The sequence below is a fragment of the Homo sapiens genome, chromosome 21, assembly GCF_000001405.40.
Source record: "Homo sapiens chromosome 21, GRCh38.p14 Primary Assembly".
Classification (NCBI taxonomy): Eukaryota; Metazoa; Chordata; class Mammalia; order Primates; family Hominidae; genus Homo; species Homo sapiens.
In genome coordinates, this window is record NC_000021.9 from 17,592,981 (window position 1) to 17,614,291 (window position 21,311).

At 38.2% G+C, this 21,311-nt stretch overlaps 2 protein-coding genes and 1 long non-coding RNA gene across 14 annotated transcripts in view; 2 read left to right on the forward strand and 1 right to left on the reverse strand.

Moving 5' to 3' along the window:
- CXADR (CXADR cell adhesion molecule) overlaps nt 1-21,311 on the forward strand; it is a 123,220-nt gene that overhangs the window by 79,938 nt on the left and 21,971 nt on the right. For 2 of the 6 annotated variants that reach the window (NM_001207066.2, XM_011529477.3), the window contains one exon: nt 172-630. The exons of the other annotated variants lie outside the window; for them this stretch is intronic. In NM_001207066.2, the coding sequence (NP_001193995.1) occupies nt 172-213 (42 nt within the window). In that variant the 3' untranslated portion in view covers nt 214-630. Of the gene's footprint in view, nt 1-171; nt 631-21,311 lie in introns of those variants that run through there. 6 annotated transcript variants of the gene reach the window in all.
- Nucleotides 673-19,921, reverse strand: BTG3 (BTG anti-proliferation factor 3). Of its 7 annotated transcripts, none has more exons than XM_011529441.2 (7): nt 19,719-19,921; nt 18,677-18,794; nt 15,992-16,172; nt 11,880-12,017; nt 11,165-11,296; nt 5,637-5,844; nt 673-1,352 (listed from the first exon to the last, which is right to left on the reverse strand). In XM_011529441.2, exons 2-7 carry the CDS (start codon nt 18,696-18,698, stop codon nt 1,113-1,115), a joined length of 921 nt encoding a protein of 306 aa, XP_011527743.1. In that variant the 5' UTR covers nt 18,699-18,794; nt 19,719-19,921; the 3' UTR covers nt 673-1,112. The 7 variants fall into 7 exon arrangements, with proteins under 7 accessions (XP_011527743.1, XP_047296626.1, NP_001124386.1 ...); XM_047440670.1 differs by having other exon boundaries at nt 17,796-18,794; NM_001130914.2 differs by lacking the exon at nt 18,677-18,794.
- BTG3-AS1 (BTG3 antisense RNA 1) lies at nt 18,706-21,134 on the forward strand. The gene has a single exon (NR_149073.1). It is a non-coding gene; the product is annotated as a BTG3 antisense RNA 1 (long non-coding RNA).

Here is a 21,311-nt window from a genome sequence, read left to right on the forward strand (position 1 = left end):
TTCAATGATTTATTAGCAAGTTGTGATTTTTCTGGTAAGTCAAATAATTTAAGACTGCAAATTTAAAGATGAAGGTGATGGAAAAAGTATTGCTGATCTTAGTTTTTAAAAATTTACCTTTGGAGAAAAATCAAAACTCTTATAGAGATATCTCTTTTTTTCTTTTTGTAGTTCAAGTACCCTTACAAGACTGATGGAATTACAGTTGTATAAATATGGACTACTGAAGAATCTGAAGTATTGTATTATTTGACTTTATTTTAGGCCTCTAGTAAAGACTTAAATGTTTTTTAAAAAAAGCACAAGGCACAGAGATTAGAGCAGCTGTAAGAACACATCTACTTTATGCAATGGCATTAGACATGTAAGTCAGATGTCATGTCAAAATTAGTACGAGCCAAATTCTTTGTTAAAAAACCCTATGTATAGTGACACTGATAGTTAAAAGATGTTTTATTATATTTTCAATAACTACCACTAACAAATTTTTAACTTTTCATATGCATATTCTGATATGTGGTCTTTTAGGAAAAGTATGGTTAATAGTTGATTTTTCAAAGGAAATTTTAAAATTCTTACGTTCTGTTTAATGTTTTTGCTATTTAGTTAAATACATTGAAGGGAAATACCCGTTCTTTTCCCCTTTTATGCACACAACAGAAACACGCGTTGTCATGCCTCAAACTATTTTTTATTTGCAACTACATGATTTCACACAATTCTCTTAAACAACGACATAAAATAGATTTCCTTGTATATAAATAACTTACATACGCTCCATAAAGTAAATTCTCAAAGGTGCTAGAACAAATCGTCCACTTCTACAGTGTTCTCGTATCCAACAGAGTTGATGCACAATATATAAATACTCAAGTCCAATATTAAAAACTTAGGCACTTGACTAACTTTAATAAAATTTCTCAAACTATATCAATATCTAAAGTGCATATATTTTTTAAGAAAGATTATTCTCAATAACTTCTATAAAAATAAGTTTGATGGTTTGGCCCATCTAACTTCACTACTATTAGTAAGAACTTTTAACTTTTAATGTGTAGTAAGGTTTATTCTACCTTTTTCTCAACATGACACCAACACAATCAAAAACGAAGTTAGTGAGGTGCTAACATGTGAGGATTAATCCAGTGATTCCGGTCACAATGCATTCCAGGAGGAGGTACCCATGTCACTGGAATTGGGCGATATGGTTTATTTTTTCTTCCCTGATTTGGATAACCAAATGGAACAGGAGGAGGATAGTGATTCTGATGGCCATTCCCTCGATACATTCCTGGCTTTTTTCTGGGCAAAGGGTGCCACATTGGAAGAGGTGGAAATATAAGTTCTGAAATCTGTAGGGAAGAGAACACATTAAGTTAATTCAAAGGAAAAAATCATCATCTATGTTCCAGATTTCTCATTAAAGACAAACAAAGTTACCCACAACACTGAGATCACATCTAAGTGACACTCCTATTGTCAGGTCTAAATACATTAAAAACCTCATGTGTAATAGGCGTATAATGTATAACAGGTGACCAATGTTTTCTGAATGCATAAAGAAATGAATAAACTCAAACACAGTACTTCCTAAACAACTTCAACCAAAAAAGACCAAAACATGGAACGAATGGAAGCTTGTAAGGACATGCTTGTTTTAGTCCAGTGGTTTCCACAGCTGGCTAAGCCAGGAGTCACTTGGAGGCTTTTAAATACAAAACATTGGAGCTGGAGGCCATTATCCTTAGCAAACTAATGCAGAAACAGAAAATCAACTACCGCATGTTCTCACTTATAAGTGGGAGGTAATGATAAGAACTTATGAACACAAAGAAGGAAACAATAGACATTGGAGTCTATTTGAGAGGGGAGGGTGGGAGAAGGAAAAGGAGCAGAAAAGATAACTATTGAGTACTGGGCTTCACACCTGGGTGATGAAATAATATGTACAACAAATCCCTGTGACACATGTTTACCTATGGAACAAACCTTCATGTGTATCCCTAAACCTAAAATAAAAGTTAAAAAAAAAAAAAGATAAACACAAAACATTCATGCCCTAGCACTGGTCTAATGAACAATAATAAAATCTCAGAACTAGAGGCCAGGTATTTTGACAAAGCTCCCCAGGTGATTCTGATGTAGCCAGTTTAGTATTTGGGAATAATAGTTTTAGATTATCCCATAAATCAGGTGGGCACGTCAGGTTCACATTATTCAAAGTGTTCTTATCAGCAGTTTTAGACCTCTCTGCTTAGAATGCCACATCTTCTTAAATTTCTGATTTTGCTGATCTCAAATCTGCATTTCTAAGTATAGGATTTTTTTAAAAAAATTATATTGTGTATAGCATTGCATTCATGATAGAAAATTCAAAAAGTACAAAAGGGTAAACTGTGGAAAGTCCCTCTTTTTTTATCTCACCCTTTATCTTCTTTATCTTAACCCTTCTCAAGGGCAACTGACACCAAACATTTTTTTAAATATACCTTTAGAGATATTCTATCCACATCTATACACACTTTAAAAATATATATGTATACTGGATTGTATCCTGCTTTTTACATTTCATAATAATACATTTCAGAAACATATCAATACATAAAGATCCTTCTCATTTTTCTACAGCTAGATAGTATAGCAATGACTATAAATTAAATGGTCTCCTAGTAATGGGACATTGAGGCTGTTTTCAGTCTCTTACTATTAAAAAAACAATGATACACAACGAACAAAACAATGCTGCAATGAATAACAGCACAGTTAATTCTAATAGAAGGCTTTATAGGCATATTTTCGTTTCTTTTGGTAAATATTTAATACTTAGGAGTGGAACTGCTGAGTAATAGAAGAGTTACACATTTAACGTTAAAAAGTTCCAGTTTTCCAAAGTAGTGGTACTATTTTACATGACTAGCAAGTTTATGAATCTAGCTGCTTCACATCCTTGCTAACATTTCATGCTGTCAGGCTTTTAAATTGTGCAGTTCTGGAAGAACTAGTGTTTCATATGGATTTAATCTGCATTCCTCTGATCATAAATGAGGCCATTCACATAACTCCTTTTGTAAAGTGTTTATTCACATCTTTTGCTCCTCCTGCCCTTTTTTTGAGATTACAGCAGGATATGCCCATTATTTTTCATTGAATCATTTACCTTTTACTAGTGATTTGTGAGCGATTTTAAAAAAAGTATATTCTGGAAATAAGTCCTTTACAGATATATGTAATGAGAATATTTTGTCCTAGTCTATGGTTTGCCCATTTTCTTAATGGTTTCTTTGATGAACAAAAAGATGATTAATTTTGATGAAGTCCAGTTTGTCAATTTTTTTCCCTTATTAGTTACTTTTTGTGACCCTCTAGAGGAAATATTTGCCTGTCACAAAATAAAGATTATATTTCCCTATGTTTTCTTCTAAAAGCGTCAGAGATTTATCTTTTATGTCTAGGTACACAATCCATCTCAAATCAATATTTTTGTGTATGGTGTCAGCTAAGTTAGGTTCGTTTTTTTTCCTACACAGATCATCCAGTTGTTTCAGCACAAGTTCTTGAAGACTTTCCCCATTGAATTGCTTTGGCACTTTTGTTAAAAGGGAGAAAAAAGACTAACTGTATGTATGTGGGTCTACTTCTGGACTCTCTATCCTGTGCCATCAATATATTTGTATGTTTTTAAACCATTACCACACTGTCTTGATGAATATATAATAGCTTTGAATTAGTGTGAGCCCTCCAACTGATCCTCCTTTTTTAAAATTTTGAATCAATTTGTCACTTTCCAGAAAAAAACCTTTTAAGATGTTCATTGATACTGAATTGGATCTACAGATCTATTTCAGGAGAACTGACACAATCTTCATTTCTTCGTTTTTTAAGATATGAATAATTCTTTATCCCCTCTCTTGGGATACCTTTTAGAAAACAGTAGAGAACAAAAATTCCAAGCTAGAAATTTTGTTGTCCTTATTTGATAAAACTTTTTTAAAGCTTGTGGCAATGCCAGATTCAAGATACTAGAAAGAAGAAAATCAAAGTGGGCCATTTGCACTAGCTTTCACACAAGTAGTGTTTCTCTATTATAAAATGTTTTGCTAATGAGTATTAGGCCAAGGAGAAATGTTTTCCTTAAAAAGCACGTAAGAGACACCTCAATTTCCATACCTTTCTGTTATCCTAATAGTCTTTCAACATGAGGGAAAATAAATGCAATTTAATTTTAAAAGAAATCCTAAAAATTAAAGGTTAATTTGCTTGTAAAAAATTAGCAGCAATCAATTTAATTTGAGACTTACATTCTTGCTTAACAACAAATAAAATTCTGAGGTAAAATTGCCACACATTTGGATGAATTCCAGAAAATTCAATATACCTAATTTGCAATATATAATCCATCACACAGAGAAAAAAAATGCCTCAAATATTTATGGCAAGGTTTTTAAAAATGATCCTGAAGTACAAATACTATGTTTACTTATTTATATAGGGAATGTCTCTGGAAGGATACTAAAAAAAAGAAAAAAAAACCTGGTAATGAATGTCTCTGTGGAAATGCATAGGGACTGGTGGTTGGGGAGAAAGAGGACTTCTCACTATTATACTGTCTTGTACTGTTTGAAGTTTCATAAAGCCAGGTACATGTTATATACATATACATATACATACACATATACATAGAATCCTAAATTATGATAATCTTCAGAAATAATCTTCCCCTAAAGTCTAGGAAGAATAATTCAACTGAGAAAAAAATGAGAAAACCAAAAATTAAGTTACACTGAAATAATGTTCATTATGTAAATGTATGCTGAATTTAAAAGTTTAGTTTATCATACTAAAAGCTCCAATATTCTGCTTCTTACTCATTAGGTCTAAATTTTCATTTTCAGCTCAACCTTACCACAAACCTGGTATGTTTCACATTTAATCAAAGCAAGTAAGTAAAAATAGATAACCTTTAAAAATTAGTAATAAGTACATTTACAGAATAAGGCTCAACTCAAAAAATCTCTTTAAATTGTTATGACTTTAAAATATCTTTCCTGTTGAAGAATGCTGTTTGGTCAACAATTTTTTAAAGTCGATTAAATGTTCTTTGGTATGTAGATATAAATAGTAAATCAGTGAATGGATCTGTAAGTGCAGGCACACTAGCTATATGACTTTTCAACTAGTAAAGCAAAAAGGGAGACAATGTTTCAGCTTGAGTAAAATATTAATTATAATATAATAAATTTAGAGAGGTTTCTCTTTAATCATGGAACGGGAGAGAATAGAAAGTTAAACCCAAAGGTACAAAACAAAGTGTTACATACTACAAAAAATAAGTGGTAACTTTTGAATGAGATTTTAAAATATCAGGAATGTTTTACCATCATGAATTTTCTACTTTTTGCCAATTTTTCTGAAATATATTTATCCTAGTTATTGTATAGTGAAGCTGACCTTTGATAAAATGACTCAGGATGCCTATTTACGTGCCAGAGAAACAGCTTTCCCTTAGCATGGGGAAAGGCAAGAACTATTATCCAGAATCTCAAGTCAGAAACCTTGGGCAATGCCAAGTAGGACTACCTGAAAGGTCCTGGCAATCCCTGCACATCCCTTTAAAACTGAGCTGTTTTCATGGTTACCTGGTACACAGGACTTGCGGCTGCAGTCACCGAACTGGGTTTCACTTCCATTTCCTTACTTGTTTCTTCATCTGAAGAAGAGGATCCTGAATGATAATCAGAGGTAACCTTATCAAGGGCCCTGGTAACTTTCCTGGAGATCTCATCCTTGTTCTCATCTTTATTTTCAAAGCTGGCAACAATGAATGCATTGTTTTTCTCTCCATACCTAAGAATAAAATTAAAAACTTACAAATCTTGAAGTCACATCAGCAAAGCAAAAAATGTCCATAAAAACAAAGAGATCTGGACATGCCATCAATACAAGGCAAAGATTGAATCATCACAGAACTTGACCCTACACATTTAATATCCTAATACAGCTCAATGCCAGCAAGCAAACCACAGTTTTCTACTTCTGGTCTATTTAAGTATTCATAAACATAACCCCATTTTCTTTCCCTTATTTTCTTTCTACTAATTCCTAAAAAAAAAATTGTTTAAAACATCAAAAAAAGTCCATTGTTTTGATTACATTTTTGTATGTACCAATGAAATTGGTTGTACAATAAAACATTCTGATGTATTTTTATTTTTTTGAGATGGGTTTCACTCTGTTGCCCAGGCTGGAGTGCAGTGGCACAATCACAACTCACTGCAGACTCTACCTCCTGGGCTCAGGTGATCGATCCTCCAACTTCAAACCTCCCAAGAGGCTGGGACTACAGGAGTGTACCACCATGCTCAGCTAATTTATATACATTTTTAGAGACAGGGTTTCACCATGTTGCTGAGGCTGGTCCCAAACTCCTAGGCTCAAGAGATCCACCCACTTCAGCTACCCAAAGTGCTAGAATTACAGGCATGCGCCACTGGCTGATTTTTTTTTTTTTTTTTTTGAGACGGAGTCTCACTCTGTTGCCCAGGCTGGAGTGCAATGGGTGCAATCTCGGCCCACTACAATCTCCACCTCCCAGGTGTTCAAGTGATTCTCCTGCCTCAGCCTCCTAAGTAGCTGGGATTACAGGTGCCCACCACCACGCCCAGCTAATTTTTGTATTTTTAGTAGAGATGAGGTTTCACCATGCTGGCCAGGCTGGTCTTGAACTCCTGACCTCAGGTGATCCACCCGCCTCGGCCTCCCAAAGTGCTGGGTTTATAGGCGTGAGCCATCACGCCCAGCCCCAGCTGTACTTATAAATGTAACATATATGCTAGTAATTCAAGTCACAGATCAACTAGAAATTTCCTATAAAATTGACTTTAACCCCAATTAAATAAAAAAGGGGGCCTGTTATTTATACTCACAAAAATGAGAACTGAGGCAGTTATTGAGATTAAAGAAAAAAGATAGTTGTTGAAGAATATAGAGGTTTTGCTTAAATTATATTGCTTACTTCAGAGTTTCCTAGGATAACTACTCACCTCTCATCTTAATTTTTTTTAAGGTAAGATGAAAAAATCTTGTTATTCTTCCAAAACATTTTTGAAGATTTTTGATTTTTTTTAAGTTGTCAAAATATGTAACATATGCTGCTGGTTACTTAAAAAAAAATTCTGAACTGTAGGAAAATAGTGTAATAAACTCAAGTAAAACCAAGAGTTTTTATTCAGTGGACATAGGAGAAATCCACAAATCTATTTAAATAGATTGCACAGTGTCAACACTATCAAACAATTTCTAGCATCAGGACAAAGGATATTGTTAAGCGGTTCTTACAAAACACATACAGTTAGAAATGTAATTAAAGTGATTCTAAGTTTGAAAAAAGATAAAAATAAGTAACTCTAAGTAGAAATAATGTCAAGCTTTTGATTCAATAGTTAGCTGAAGTTAATTCATTTCAAGATAGCACTCGTCTCAAATTATTTCTGAATCAGAATGGTTATCTATTATAAAGTAAAAGGCTTAACTGCTATAAAGCCTTTGAAAATGTACATGAGGCTGGGTGCAGTGGCTTACACCTGTAATTCCAGCACTTCAGGAGGCCTAGGTGGGCAGACTGCTTGAGCCCAGGAATTTGAGACCAGTCTGGGTAACATGGTGAGACCCTGTCTCTCAAAAAAACAAAAAAACAAGAACAAAAAATTAAAAAAACAGAAAAGAAAATGTATGTGGAAATCTAGCAGTCTCAGAGATCACACATAGATGAGTTCTATTTCTTCAGATAGCTATGCTGTCTTCCATTCCTATAGGCCAAATGAAACTATAAATACTACTTAAATATAGTACATAACTTCGCTTTTGTATTCTTTTTTAGTTTACCTCATAAAAGTTGCTACAGGGGCTGGGCGCGGTGGCTCATGCCTGTAATCCCAGCACTTTGGGAGGCCAAGGCGGGTGGATCATGAGGTCAGGCGTTCGAGGCCAGCCTGGCCAACATGGTGAAACCCTGTCTCTACTAAAAATACAAAAAATTAGCCGGGCATGGTGGTGTGCGCCTGTAATCCCAGCTACTCGGGAGGCTGAGGCAGGAGAATTGCTTGAACCTGGGAGGCAGAGGTTGCAGTGAGCTGAGATCGCACCACTGCACTCCAGCCTGGGCGACAGAGTGAGACTCCGTCTCAAAAAAAAAAAAAAAGTTGCTACGGGATGGTAGAAAGGGCATTAGACTAGTTTCTCATTCTGGCTCTGCCACTGACTAGCTTGGTCACCAGAGGCAAGTCACTTAATTTCCCTAGGCCTTAGTTTCCTATATGCTGGACGAGGAAGCTGGAGCTGGCTAGATAGTGGTTGATCTACGGCTGGTGACTCTTCGTAGTATAAAATACCTAAACAGAAGCTGGACATGGTAGCTTACATCTATAATTCTAGTACTTTGGAAGGTCAAGGCAGGAAGATTGCTTGAGCCCAGGAGTTCACAATTATAGTGAGCTATGATCATGCCACCGCATTCCAGCCTGGACAACACAGCAAGACCCTCTCTCTAAAACAAAACAAAACAAACAAAAAATAAATTCCTAAACAATTGAGTTCCTCACAACATAAAATTTGTGTTCTCTAATTTCAAGTTTACTTAGCATAAGGTTTTAGCAATACACATTTACTCCATGTCCCCTCCACAGTTGGAAGACTCAACAAATTTCAAGACAATCAAGGGTTAATTCATGTGTTAATGACACTAATATAACAATGACTTAGGCCTATCTTCAGTTTTGCCCATTAATGGAATCAAAATTCAAAAATGGAAAGGCAAGAAATTTGAGAAAAATTCCTGCCTTTGTAAACAGAAACCTCAACCAAGGGCAAATATCTAATGATTGAAGGATCAGCATTATTAACTCAGATTTCTTTGACACCTAGTTTGGTTCTGCATTTTTCCCTTTGTACTATTTTGGTATGAAGGCTCTCTCTTCATGGTAAGAGAAGCTGCTGACTATACTACTATAACATTACAATGTGCAGTCGATATCTTAGGAGAATTAGTAGACACCTGGACAACTTTTAAACTTTCCATTTTTCAATGATCACTGATAAAACATCAAGGCTAATTTAGTTATTTAGAAACAATCAATAGTATTTAACACTCTATTGGGGGAAAAAAAGGATGGCAGAAATCACCAAAAAAAAAAAAAGTTGTAAAATATGTTGAGTAGATAAGCTGGCATCTGTTCTCAGAACTTCTCATCATAGGCAAGATTTATTTTCTATTCTGTATCACGAAGTGATAACCTTTCTAACTATATGGCACTCTTTGTACTCTTGCAGCATTTTATTCTATCAGAGTAAGTGAAGACTATGAAGAATGTTCTCAGTGCATCTCAATTTTTTTTTACAATCTTAGTCTCTAGTATACCAATGAGTTATTATTTTTAAAGATTCTCAGATATTTGATCAATTGTATACTTGCTAGATCAGCTTTAATTTTCAAAATATCTATGTTTCCAGTTTTGGTGAAAAAATATTTCTCAATGTCTTTTTCTTCTGTTAACTTATATCAACCACCTCTACTAAACGATTAATACGTCTTTCTTTTTGGGGTTCTGTTATTGAATGAACACCTGACACTCGCAGGTGATTTCTATTAGCTGTGAAAAAAATCACATCAGAGCCAATTTTTGGCAAATTTACATATAAATTAGAAGCCTACTGAATGAAAAGGTTTTCTAAGATTAATAAGATGAAAGCAAAGTAGCAGTTTTTTCCTACCAGGCATCATCAAGTAATGAAATGTCTACTGAAGTAGAATGTCCGTATAACTAAAGTTTTTATGTTCAGGTACTGAGACTTATTTTAAGCATTTTAAATACATAGGTCCAAAATGTTTATATAATTATGTAACTTGTTAAACATCCTTGGACATAAAAACTTTCCCCTGATGGTTTAGGATCATTATATTGAACGTAAACTATTTGATTGTGTGATAACATAATCGTGCTGATTTTTTAGCTTTTTCATTTTTGCCTCTATGTCAGACCACATGACATTTTTTGGTAGCGTCTGACTCATCAACCCTCTTTAAAATGCTGCTTCTCACATTTCATGGGTTAAGAAACCACACAACTAACTTAACTGTGTGTTAAATAGGAGCCAACTAGGATCTAAGTGCAGGTCAAATTAAAAAGTAAACAATTCAATATAGTAGCTTTTTGACAGCTATTTCTTATAAATGGAGGTCTTCTGCACAGGTTCAGTGGCCAAAGTTTTCCAAGTCTGAAACTAGCCTAAAGCAGGTCCTTAATTAGTCCCAGAATCTAAAAATGTTTATTTTCTCAGACCTAAATTTGAGATAGCTTGCTCCTTTTCTACCCGAGAAAGAAGTATTGGAGAATGTTTATCACAAACCTCTACCACCTACATCTGGTTTCCAAAAGCAATAAACTTACACCAACCACTGGCAAATCAGGTAGTAACCTCAAGCGGTGGTCCTGACAAAATTTAATGGAAGAATAATCATGTAATTCATCTCTCCTGTCTTCACCTCCACCTTCATTGCTGGAATCAGGTCAGTCTGCGACCACCTTAGGAGTACATAGTTAGGGTTCCTTCAAAAAGCAACTTTACTACAATCAATAAAGAGGCCAGGTGGTCAGGTGAATTGTACCTCAAAACCAAATAGAAACATCCTAAAGGCAGAGCCACAGGAAAATTCTTGCAGGAATTCCATGCCTCTGTTCATCTTCTTCCTGCTAGTTAGAACATCCTTCCCACCTTGTCACCTGGTCAACCATGGCTCATCCTTCACCTCCCAGCTCAAGTATCACCTACTCAGTAGTCTCCTGACTCCTCACCAGATGCAGTAACTTTCTACTTTGTGCAACCTACCACTGCATTTTGTACACATTTCTAACATAAATCAGATAACAATGTAATTTGCTTACTTTTCTTCTCAATTTCAAACTGAATTACCTAAAAGCAGAATGTTGCTTTCGTTTTTGAAAACCCTACAACTGAGAGTGCCTGGTCCACAAATAATGGTTTTTGAGCAAGTGGAGTTCAAAAAGATTTCATACCTAGCACTGATCTTTCACAACTCTATTCATTAGGAGATGTGAAAAATAACTTCCATTATAAAAATAAAACCACGAAGTATCACTCAGTCACTTACATAATCAAAAAGGAGGAGGCCGGGCGCAGTGGCTCACGCCTGTAATCCAGCGCTTTGGGAGGCCAAGGCGGGCGGATCACGAGGTCAGGAGTTTGAGAGCAGTCTGGCCAACATGGTGAAACCCCATCTCTACTACAAATATAAAAAAAAATTAGCCGGGCACAGTGGTGGGCGCCTGTAATTCCAGCTACTCAGGAGGCTGAGGCAGGAGAATCACTTGAACCCGGCAGGCAGAGGTTGCAGACAGCCAAGAATGCACCATTGCGCTCCAGCCTGGGCAACAAGAGTGAAACTCCGTCCCAAAAAAAAAGAGGAGAGAGGGAGAATAAACAGAAACAGAAACAAACCAAAAGTGGTTATCCAGTATTATTTGGGATTAGCTTCTTAATTTGAAGACAGACAAGTGCACCACCAATTAAAGATAATAGACACCTAGCGGAATCTAGGTGTCTACTTCTTGGTCTACAATAAGCTTCTTGGCAAAGCACTACTAGAAAACCCCCGCCTAATCAGTTTCTTTTTTCGGCTATAAAGCAGAAATCTAACTAGTCCTTCAACATCACCTCCAGAAAAGTATTTCATAAAATTTACATCTGAGAGAGTTAAACCACCAGCTCCTGGCCATAAAGATACACAGGCAGGCCGTACATGACAGAATGTCATAAAATTAGTTCCAGCATGGTCATCAGTTCAGCCTCTAAACTTGAGAACTCACCGACAGCACACCTCACATGGGTCCACCCAGAGAGTGAGCTCCTTTGGCAAGCCCAGGTCACTATACAAGATGCAGCTGTTTTCACAGGCTTTCAGGACATCAGGATCAACTCTCTGAAATTTATTGACACGAATACATCTACAACAAAGTGGAGTTACGTTAATGGATTTAAATGAATTTAATCATAAACGCCGTAATATCTATTCATACTTGCCAAGGTGAGTAATAAAATAGTAATAAAAAAATACCCTGGTAGAGAACCTAGGAGCATATCTATCCTAAACAGATAATAAATGTGAACTACAGGCACAGAGGCAGCCTGAAAAAAAGATGGCACCTATGTGAGCCCAAGGAAATCACTAGTACTGGGTCTACCTCAGTCTACCCAGAGACTTGACCACCCATGTACATTAAATGAGCACGGAGTATGAAAGTTGCACGAAATTTTAGAACTCTGAAGGTAAAAGTTTCTATAGGCCAAGTTCCTATACAAAAAAATCTCTAACAAAAGGCCTCATCTAATGTTTCAGATGGTATTTGGAAATGCTTACGACAAATTCTGATCTGTCATTAACTTGCTTTTATATCTCAGATAGTAAAGTGGTAAGAGGACACCCTTGCTTTACCTATAATTGTTCTATAAATACAGGATAAGTGAAGGACACAGATTCATTCATATCATATACTTATGATTAAAATACCTAACTAACATGTTATTGGCTTATTTCATTTAACTTCTATTTACCCAAGCACTTTTATTTAAATAGTTGTCAAAATTAAGTGAGGAAAATTTCTAAACCAATAAAGCCTCTGTCCCATCTTTTTTTAACCTATTATACGACATCTACCTAATGGAATGTTTAATAAATAAAAAATATGCATTCTGTTAAATGATAAGCATTCTGATTAAGTAGGGAAATAGGGCCTATGAAGGAAAAGTATTTACTGCCTACAATCAAGAATCAATCAAGAGAACTTGGATTTCAGCACTAATCCTAGTATTTATCAGGTAAGCCTAGTTAAGTCACTGTACCTCTTCCTCAGACCTGTAACTATAAAACATGGAAATACAAGTTAATTGATGAATAGTAATTACGCTGTAAAATACAATGATATAAAGACTAATGTGCTATTTAAAGTTTTTGTAAAAGTTAAATTATTAGTTGGTTTTAATTTCTATTTAAAAAATGAAAAAGTTCTCAACAGGTAATAGGAATAAGTGTTTCTACATAATAATATTAACAATAATAAGCATTTTAAAAAATTTATTATGCAATGGACAATTTCCTAAATGCTTTGCATGTATTAACTCTTAATTCTCATGATCATCCTGTGAGTTAGATACTTTTTTCCTCAGCATAAAGAAAAAAGGAGGCAGAGAGAGTTTGAGTAACTTCCCAACATTACACAGCTACTAAGTGATGGATCTAGGGTTCAAATCCAGGCCACTAGACTCCAAAGAGCAAGTTATTTCCTTAATACTCAACCCTGTATATACGTACCTATCTTAGCGTCACCATTAACAATATAACAAAGGCAAAGTGAGAAAAATTATTTTCTAGTATGTAAAATACTGCTTAGTCCTTTTAAAAACATGGTCTTATGCTATAGATTCTAATATTGTATAGGGTAATTTGAAAGATCCCATGTGCTCTGGGACCAAAAGCAGTTAAGGATAAAAAGATATATCTTAGATGTATGTGTTTTTCTTATCTACAATTAAGGTGATACAGGCTCTAAGCTTACAAATTATATATAAATATAGATGCTTAAACAGAGACTATGCTTCAACAAAATCTGCATACCTTACATGTTTTGTACTATTTTTTTTCACTCTACATACTACTTATCCATTAACTACTCTTCAAAAACAAAATTTTAAAAGTTGCATAAAAATATTCTATCATTTACTTAATGTTGACAGTTTAGTTCTTTCCATTTTTGCAATTACAAAGTGTAAGAGACATCCATATTCATACATGTTCGTCTGCATTTCTAATTATACTTCTAGAATAGATTCTTGGGAGACTTACTGTTCAAAAGGTATGAATATTTTTATAGATCTTGATAATATTGCCAAATTGCTCTCTACAAGTATCTTATTTATATTGCAGAAAAACAATTTCAACTTACAAACATTTTGTAAGAGAAAGAACACTCCACCTATTCTACAGACTGAAGTCTCTACTAACTTGGTTAATCTTATATTCTATTCATTTTTATAATAGTAACAACCCACTATTTTTTCTACTTCAAATACAGCTTTAAAATGACTCAGTAATGATACTTCTGATCACATGCCAATTTAATCGTTTCAGTTTTTTTCTCAAGTTTTTAGAATTAATGGAAATGAAATTGTACACTGTCTGACCTTTAAATATTTACTTGACAGTGCCTCCTTTTTCAGTAATAGTATGGTGGCTTGGCACTTCCAAAAAGCCTTCATCCAATGTCAGTTAAATCAGAGTAAAAAGCCTCAACAGTTCTAACTTAACGAAAGCTGTTCACTCTATTGGAAATGAAAATATGCAAAAAAAAAATTAAGATAATCAAGAGATAAGATAAAAAATGACTTGAGCCTGTGTTAGCGTGCACATTTCTATTTTAATTCATTTTCCAATTTACTGGAAACCTCTTTGGATTAAAAATGAAAAGGAAAATAAACTATTTTGATTCTCTTCTTGTCAATAGAACACAAGCTCACTTGACTTTCAGTACATGAGAAATTAGCAAATAATATGTTTACCTCCTTTTTAGACTCCTTGAATAGTGCTGTACTTGCAAGAGCCCAGTGGCAGAAAGGAAGTCCTTCTGACATCAAAGCACAAAGTGTTGATTTGTGTAGGAAACTTTGGGGACATCAATATACACAAATAAAAGAGTATTTCTGTAGTTATCACTATAGTCACTGTTCCACTTTTATTTCTCGTGGCCACATCCACAAAATGGGACAATGTTTGGCAGCTGAGTTTAGCAGAACATTCTCAACTGAGGTTCCTGAGCAGTCACATAAATACTACAGTGAGCATGCCAGGGCATGTTTTATAGGAGTCTGCTCTTCTTTACTTTAAGCTGTAAATGTACCTTATACAGCAGAGTACAAAAGACAGCTCCAAGTGAGAATTACCTTCGTTCTCAGTGCCAAAACAGTGGTAACACTGTGGTGTGCAGAAAGCCCATGAAAACATGGGGTCATGTAGACCTGAGTTCAAATCCCAGAACCTTGGCCAGGCATGGTGGCTCACGCCTGTAATCCTCACATTCTGGGAGGCAAAGGGAGAAGATCGCGTGAGGCCAGGAGTTTGAAACTCACCTGGGTAACACAGCAAGATCCCATCTATACAAAAAAAAATTTGTTTTTAAATTAGCCTGGTGTGTTGGCACATGTCTATAATCCTAGCTACTTTGGAGTCTGAGGCAGTAGGATTGCTTGAGCCCAGGAGTTTGAGGCTGCAGTGAGCTATGGTTATACCACTGCACTCTAGACTGGGTGACAGAGCAAAAACAATACCACAAAAAAAAAAAACTCCCAGAAAAGCAAATCCCAGAGCCATTATTTACTAGTCGTGGATCACAGGTGAGTCACATTCATCTAGAAAATAGTTACACTGACTTCTACCACAAATATATAAATGAGATTATTCTTGTATTAACGACATATCAGGTGTCTGATAATCTTAGTTCCCTTTTTCCATACTTTTTTTTTTTTCAAAGAACATATAACATGTAATTTACTTTTAGATGCAAGATTCACTTCTTTCAACTCCTACCATGCCCATTAATGTGTTATTAGGGGTCCTCTAGAATTGTGAAAATCCCTAAGTATTTGTGATAAACAGAAATGCACTGTTAGGAGCCAGGCTATAACCACAAAAGACTAACTCCTTTGACCCCATAGCATTGGCCTCCTGTGTCCAGGCAGTGGGACTCCACCACTCCGCCAACAAATACTTGTTTTAAAATGAGTAAGGAGAAAATATACAAACACCCCAGAGTTCTATATTTTGCAGATGAAACACCTGTAGGCATGGTCTGCACACCCTTCAATCATCCGGCCTTGAACCCACCTCAGGGGTTGATCAGCCTCTGCTTAATCCAATCTAATCCTTTACCTGTAGGCCTGTCCTTTCGATGGTTTTTCTGGATACCAGTGATTTTTATATTTTTCTTGAAGTATTAGGGTCAATTTCTCAGCAAACCTCTCAACTGCCTCTTTTTTCAACTTATCATGTTTTCGAACTAGCCTTGTGAAAAAGAAGACAACGGCAGCAATTTCATTCTTCATTTTTTTCCCTGCAAAGATAAAACATGTTTTCTCAGAAAAACAAAATATAAAAACTGGGAAGATGAAGCTCTGTAAGATATACCTCCTTTACAGCTCTCCCCTTCCTCCTTCCAATTTTATCTTGTATTTCTTTGGCTTATATCTGAAGTAGAGAACAATCTACTTATCTTTATGCCATAAAGGCCTTATTATAAAATACTACTTAAAAATCTTATCACTTAGCTTCATGAAGAAATTCCATAAAGATAGCACGTTGCTCCTGTTGGCTAAAATAAAACCACACCTATCAGTAAAAGAGAAGCACTATAATAAATGATACGACATAGATGTTACTGTGTGTGTCAATATTTAGCTGCAATAATCTAAGTTTAAAATTCTGTGAAATGATTTGAACTTTAAAACATAAAAAAAGTCTACTTTAAAATCTAGAACTGTAGAGCTATTTTATAACAGAAAAGTTCGGCAGTTCCTAGAAAGGTTAAACACAGAGTTATCATATGACACGGCCAATTCTACTTCTATTTGCCCAAGAGAAATGAAAACATATGTCCACACCAAAACCTTGTACAGAAATGCCCATAGCAGTATTCATAATAGCTAAAAAGTGAAAACAATATGTTTACCAACTAAAGAATGGACAAATACTGTGTTATACACACGTATGGAATATTATTCAGCAATGAAAAGGAATGAGTACTAATACAAGCTACAATATGGGTGAACCTTGAACACAGAAATGCCCACAGCAGTATTCATAATAGCTAAAAAGTAAAAACAATCTATATGTTTACCAATTAAGGAATGGACAAATACTGTGGTATATACATGTAATGGAATATTATTCAGCAGTTAAAACGAATGAGTACTAATATAAGCTACAACATGGGTGAACCTTGAATACATCACACTAAGGGAAAGAAGCCAGTCACAAATGACCACATATTGTACGATTCCATTGATATGAAATATCCAGAATAAGCAAATCTATATAGACAGAAGACAGATTAGTGGCCTACGGGGAAGTGGGAAACCAAGAAAAGGAGCATTGCTAATAAGTACAGGGTTACTTTTTGAGGTGATAAAAATATTTACTAAATTTCACTATAGTAATGGTTGTACAACTTTGTGAATATACTAAAACCATTGAACTGTACATTTTAAATGGGTGAATTGCATGGTATATAAATTAAATCCCAAAACTGTTCTACATAAAAAATTTCAGCATTGACTTTCCGAAAGTACTCTTTCAGGAAGAGAGATACATTTATCCACAAGTTAAGAGACACAAAAACTAGTGGATCTATCAGGACATATTTAAGAAATGGAAATTCAGGTCACCCGCAGAAAAACAAACTAAAAGAAATAATCAGAGATTTAGCTACATTTTGGATTGCCTCAAAGGACTTTAAAAATGGTATATCTGATTTATCATTGATTAATCCTTAAGGGCAAACCCTTGTCCTAAGATTGTTTTGATGTATGTTGTCTCTACTCAGTGAGCTCATTCATCTGGCTGCTGTAACCTGGAGTTATTAAGATGCTGCCTTTAGTAAGCAACATCACCTTTTTGGGAGCCAATTACGTATTAAAAACATACAGCCTCTGCTATGTTTAGCATAAAAACAACTAACCTAGCAGTAGTTTGTGTTCCCACATTTCCAAAAAAATAAAGCTGATTGTTAGCTTTCTTTTCTCAAACTGCTCTTTCAGTCTCTCTTCAGAATATGACTCCTTTATTCCAAGTGCAAATTCAAACAAGGAACCTCACTGTGAAATAAATTCTACACAGTTATCTGAGAGGTGTGCTGGCAGCCGCAGATAGCCTGATGGAGGGGAAGGCACACAAATCTTCCTCCCAGAACCCTAGAATGAGAAATTCACCTTCTACAGCCAGCTAGCAGGCACCGGGCATGGGTCCACACACGAGTGTACACGTATACATAACCCCAGCCCACCACGACTGCTGTGCAGCCTCCTCCTGAAAAATGTAAGCCATTTCCACTTTGTAAAGCTACGTTTATATTCCACCACGATACGATGGAAAAGAAAACCCAAGGCAATTTAATATACGGGTTGGGAAGAAAGTTTTGCTGATGGAACTACATTAGCCTCCACTCCAGCAAAGCAAACAAGGAACCACACTAAAGAAATGTACTGAATCTTTTAACTAGATCTTTCTCCTCATTCATTACATTTGCCAACTATGTGCCACATATCTGAGTTCTGGATTTGTTTCTGTTTGCTCTGCTTCATATAAAAAAATAGAAAAGAAGGAAAGAACCACTTAGTGGTTGCTTTTGGTTGTAACACAAGATGACTCATTTGGACTTTTGTTTTCCCCGTTTGAAGAAATGATAGCTCGAACAGCTGAAAAATAAGCCCACTCCCACCAGTATTCTAGGAGTACCAAAAGGTGAAAGAGGGAGAGTTACAGTCAGGGCAAGAACCACCAGAGGCAAGCAGGGCCAAGAAGACCTCAGGCGTCTTGAGTAAGTAGGCGTCCTCCACCCACACTCAGAGCAAAAGGCTCCCATTTTAAATATCGCACGGTGACGTCATCCTGGGACCTCGTCACCGCGGCGGCTGCTCCTCAAGTTCTACTTTGTTCCACAAGGCTCCTCTGCTCACGGCTGCGTGGATAAAACCCAAAGGGAATCCAGAATCAAGCTCGGCCTCGCAGGAGTTTATAACTTTTGTACTTTTCCCTCCCTTGTAACGAAAAGCTAATCGCAAACGTTTCTAGGAACACATTTTTCTCCTGATAGACGTTCCCAAGGTGGAGGGCGCGAGAAGACTGGCCCGTGGGGTGAGGAGCCCCGGCCCGACCTCAGCGGCGCCACAAAGCCATGAAGAGGGGAAATAATTTTCCAAGGGGCTAAGAGTTGGACTTTCTGAAGCCATCGAAACCTGCTGCTAGGCTCTCCCGCTGGGGTTTTGAGAGAGGTAGGTGAGGAGGGATCAAACATCTCCACCCGCTCTTGAAAGAACCGCCTTGAGCTGCGCCCAACTTCTGCAATCCCGGTTTTCCCCAAGTTCAAGGGGAAGGGCCCTGGCGCCCAATGCCCAGCCTCCCCGACAACATCCTCGCCAGGGTGCGCCTGCCCCGCGGGTCCGCTGTCCCCGGCGGGCGGCCCTGGGTTCGAGGACCCGGCTTCCCGGAGGCGCGACTCTCCAGCAAACAAGCGGAGCTCCAGAAAAAACACCGACGCGAAGGGGGTGGACAGAGGGTGGGAAGCCGCGGGGTTGTCGCCCACCCGGAGGCGGAATGTAACGCGCTGTGGGAAACGTGGCAGGAGCCCTGAGGCGGCGTCTTTTTCCTCAGGCGCCCGCCGAGGGTCCCGCGGAAAGCCTCGCGGGCCGCCCTCGCGGCCCGCAGCCCCGCTCTGGCGCCGAGCCGGAGCCCATGCAACCTGGTTCCATCCCCTGCCCCTCCCCTGTCCCCGGTGCGCCGCCCGCCAGCGAGCCTTCGACGTGGCCGCAGGGGCGACGGGACCACCCTCCCCCGATACCCACAGCCCCGCCATGTCTGCCTTTCCCCGGCCCGGTCTCCTCACCGCCGCTGCCGCCGCCGCTCTTCGGCCGGAGATTCGGCGGCCCAGACCGTGTCCTGGCCGGGAACTGAGGGCTCCGCCTCAACGGGCCCGCGCTGGGCAACAGGGAGCGCAGCGAGCCTCGTCCGGCGCGTGCGGCTCCCGCGTCGTCGGGCGGCCAAGCGCGCGTTGAGAGGACTGGCGGGCGGACGAGCGCGCACACGAGTGAGCGCAGCCCCAAAGCGGCGCGCAGGGGGCTCGCGGCCCGGAAGAGGGGAGGGGCGATGACCCGGGAAAGGGTTGGCGCGCGCGGGATCGGCTCGCGCGCCTGAGGGGCGGTGCCGGGGGCGGGGCTTCGCCGCGAGGCCACCCCCGAGCCCCGGGCCTAGCCGCACGGGAGGCGACACACCCTCGCCCTACCCTGAGCCTGGCGCAGACCCTCGACCGCGACGGCGCGGTCCGCAGAACCGCGGGCTTCCCTCCCCGGCAAAAAGCGGCGCTGAAGGCCTGTGGGACCCCCGCCCGGCCGCCCTACGTGCGTCAGCGCCTTCGGGGGTCGCGCGGGCTTGGTCCTTTCGGCTGTCTCGGCCTTTTTGTTTCCCCCTCAGGTCTCTCCACGCTGCACTTGACACCCTCAGGGCGGAATGGCGAGTTCTAGACCCAGCTCTCTAGACCCGGGGCTTCATGGGGGACACGGACTCGACGGGAAGGGGAACTTGGCATTTATGGACAGATCCTCATCCTTCTTGCTGTAGTCAATTACACGCACGTTAACCGTGCAGCCGCCCTGCTGTATTTTAGGCGGTTGTTGGCACTCCTAGTTGGGCCCTTCCCTGGCCCCTCACAGCAGGGCCTGCCTCCTGTGGACGCTTGTGTGCTGCCCTGGCACCGGCCACTGTGTTTTGCATAAAGGAGAGGCTCCAAAGATGTTGGCCAAAGGAATGAAGCCTTGAGAGTCCAGGCTTTCTATTTCTGAGACACTCTACTCAAGGACTTCCCAGATGCAAAGCTTCATCTTTGAGCAAATACAAATATGGAGAGGGAACATTAACTTTCTGAAGAAAAGAAGGAACATCTTTTCAACCTTTTATATTGAGTTAACACCATGGTCTTAGTTTTGTGAAAGCACTTTAATACATCCAACTAGCGGGAGGAATACAAGATATTCCTACCTTTTTATTATTATTATTAAAAGAGGGCTAAACCATGTTGTAAACTACTTAAGAACTGAATGTTCAAGTTGTACAGTATATTGGCCAGATTCCTTACTGCCCACTAGGCTTGGGAGCATGTTTTCAGCTCAGTTTTATGAATGTTTTAAATTTGTATTACTGATCTTTGTTATAGCCAATTAGCAATTCAAAATGGTAATTTTTTTAGCAGTAATAAATATACCATCCCCCAAACAGTACAATAAACTTTATTTGTAAAAAAAAAAAATTATACTCTTCTAGGACTTAGTCTACTTACTGGTACATTTAAAGAGGATATTTACACCTTGGAGTCTTCTAGGAGGTGTGAAGGTGTTTTTATTTTAAAATCATAACAATCTGATGAGGTTATTTTTACAGATAAAGGCCTTTAATTCTGCAGTTTCATAAAATAGCTAGGTAACCA

Excerpts from the sequence above, each read along its gene's own strand:
- BTG3 (XM_047440670.1), bottom strand. The coding sequence starts at position 17,820 with ATGTGGGAACACAAACTACTGCTAG. Across the intron at positions 16,173-17,795 it reads GGAACACAAACTACTGCTAG|GGAAAAAAATGAAGAATGAA; the intron begins GTTAGTTGTTTT and ends TTATCTTTGCAG. Across the intron at positions 12,018-15,991 it reads TCGAAAGGACAGGCCTACAG|ATGTATTCGTGTCAATAAAT; the intron begins GTAAAGGATTAG and ends ACTTTGTTGTAG.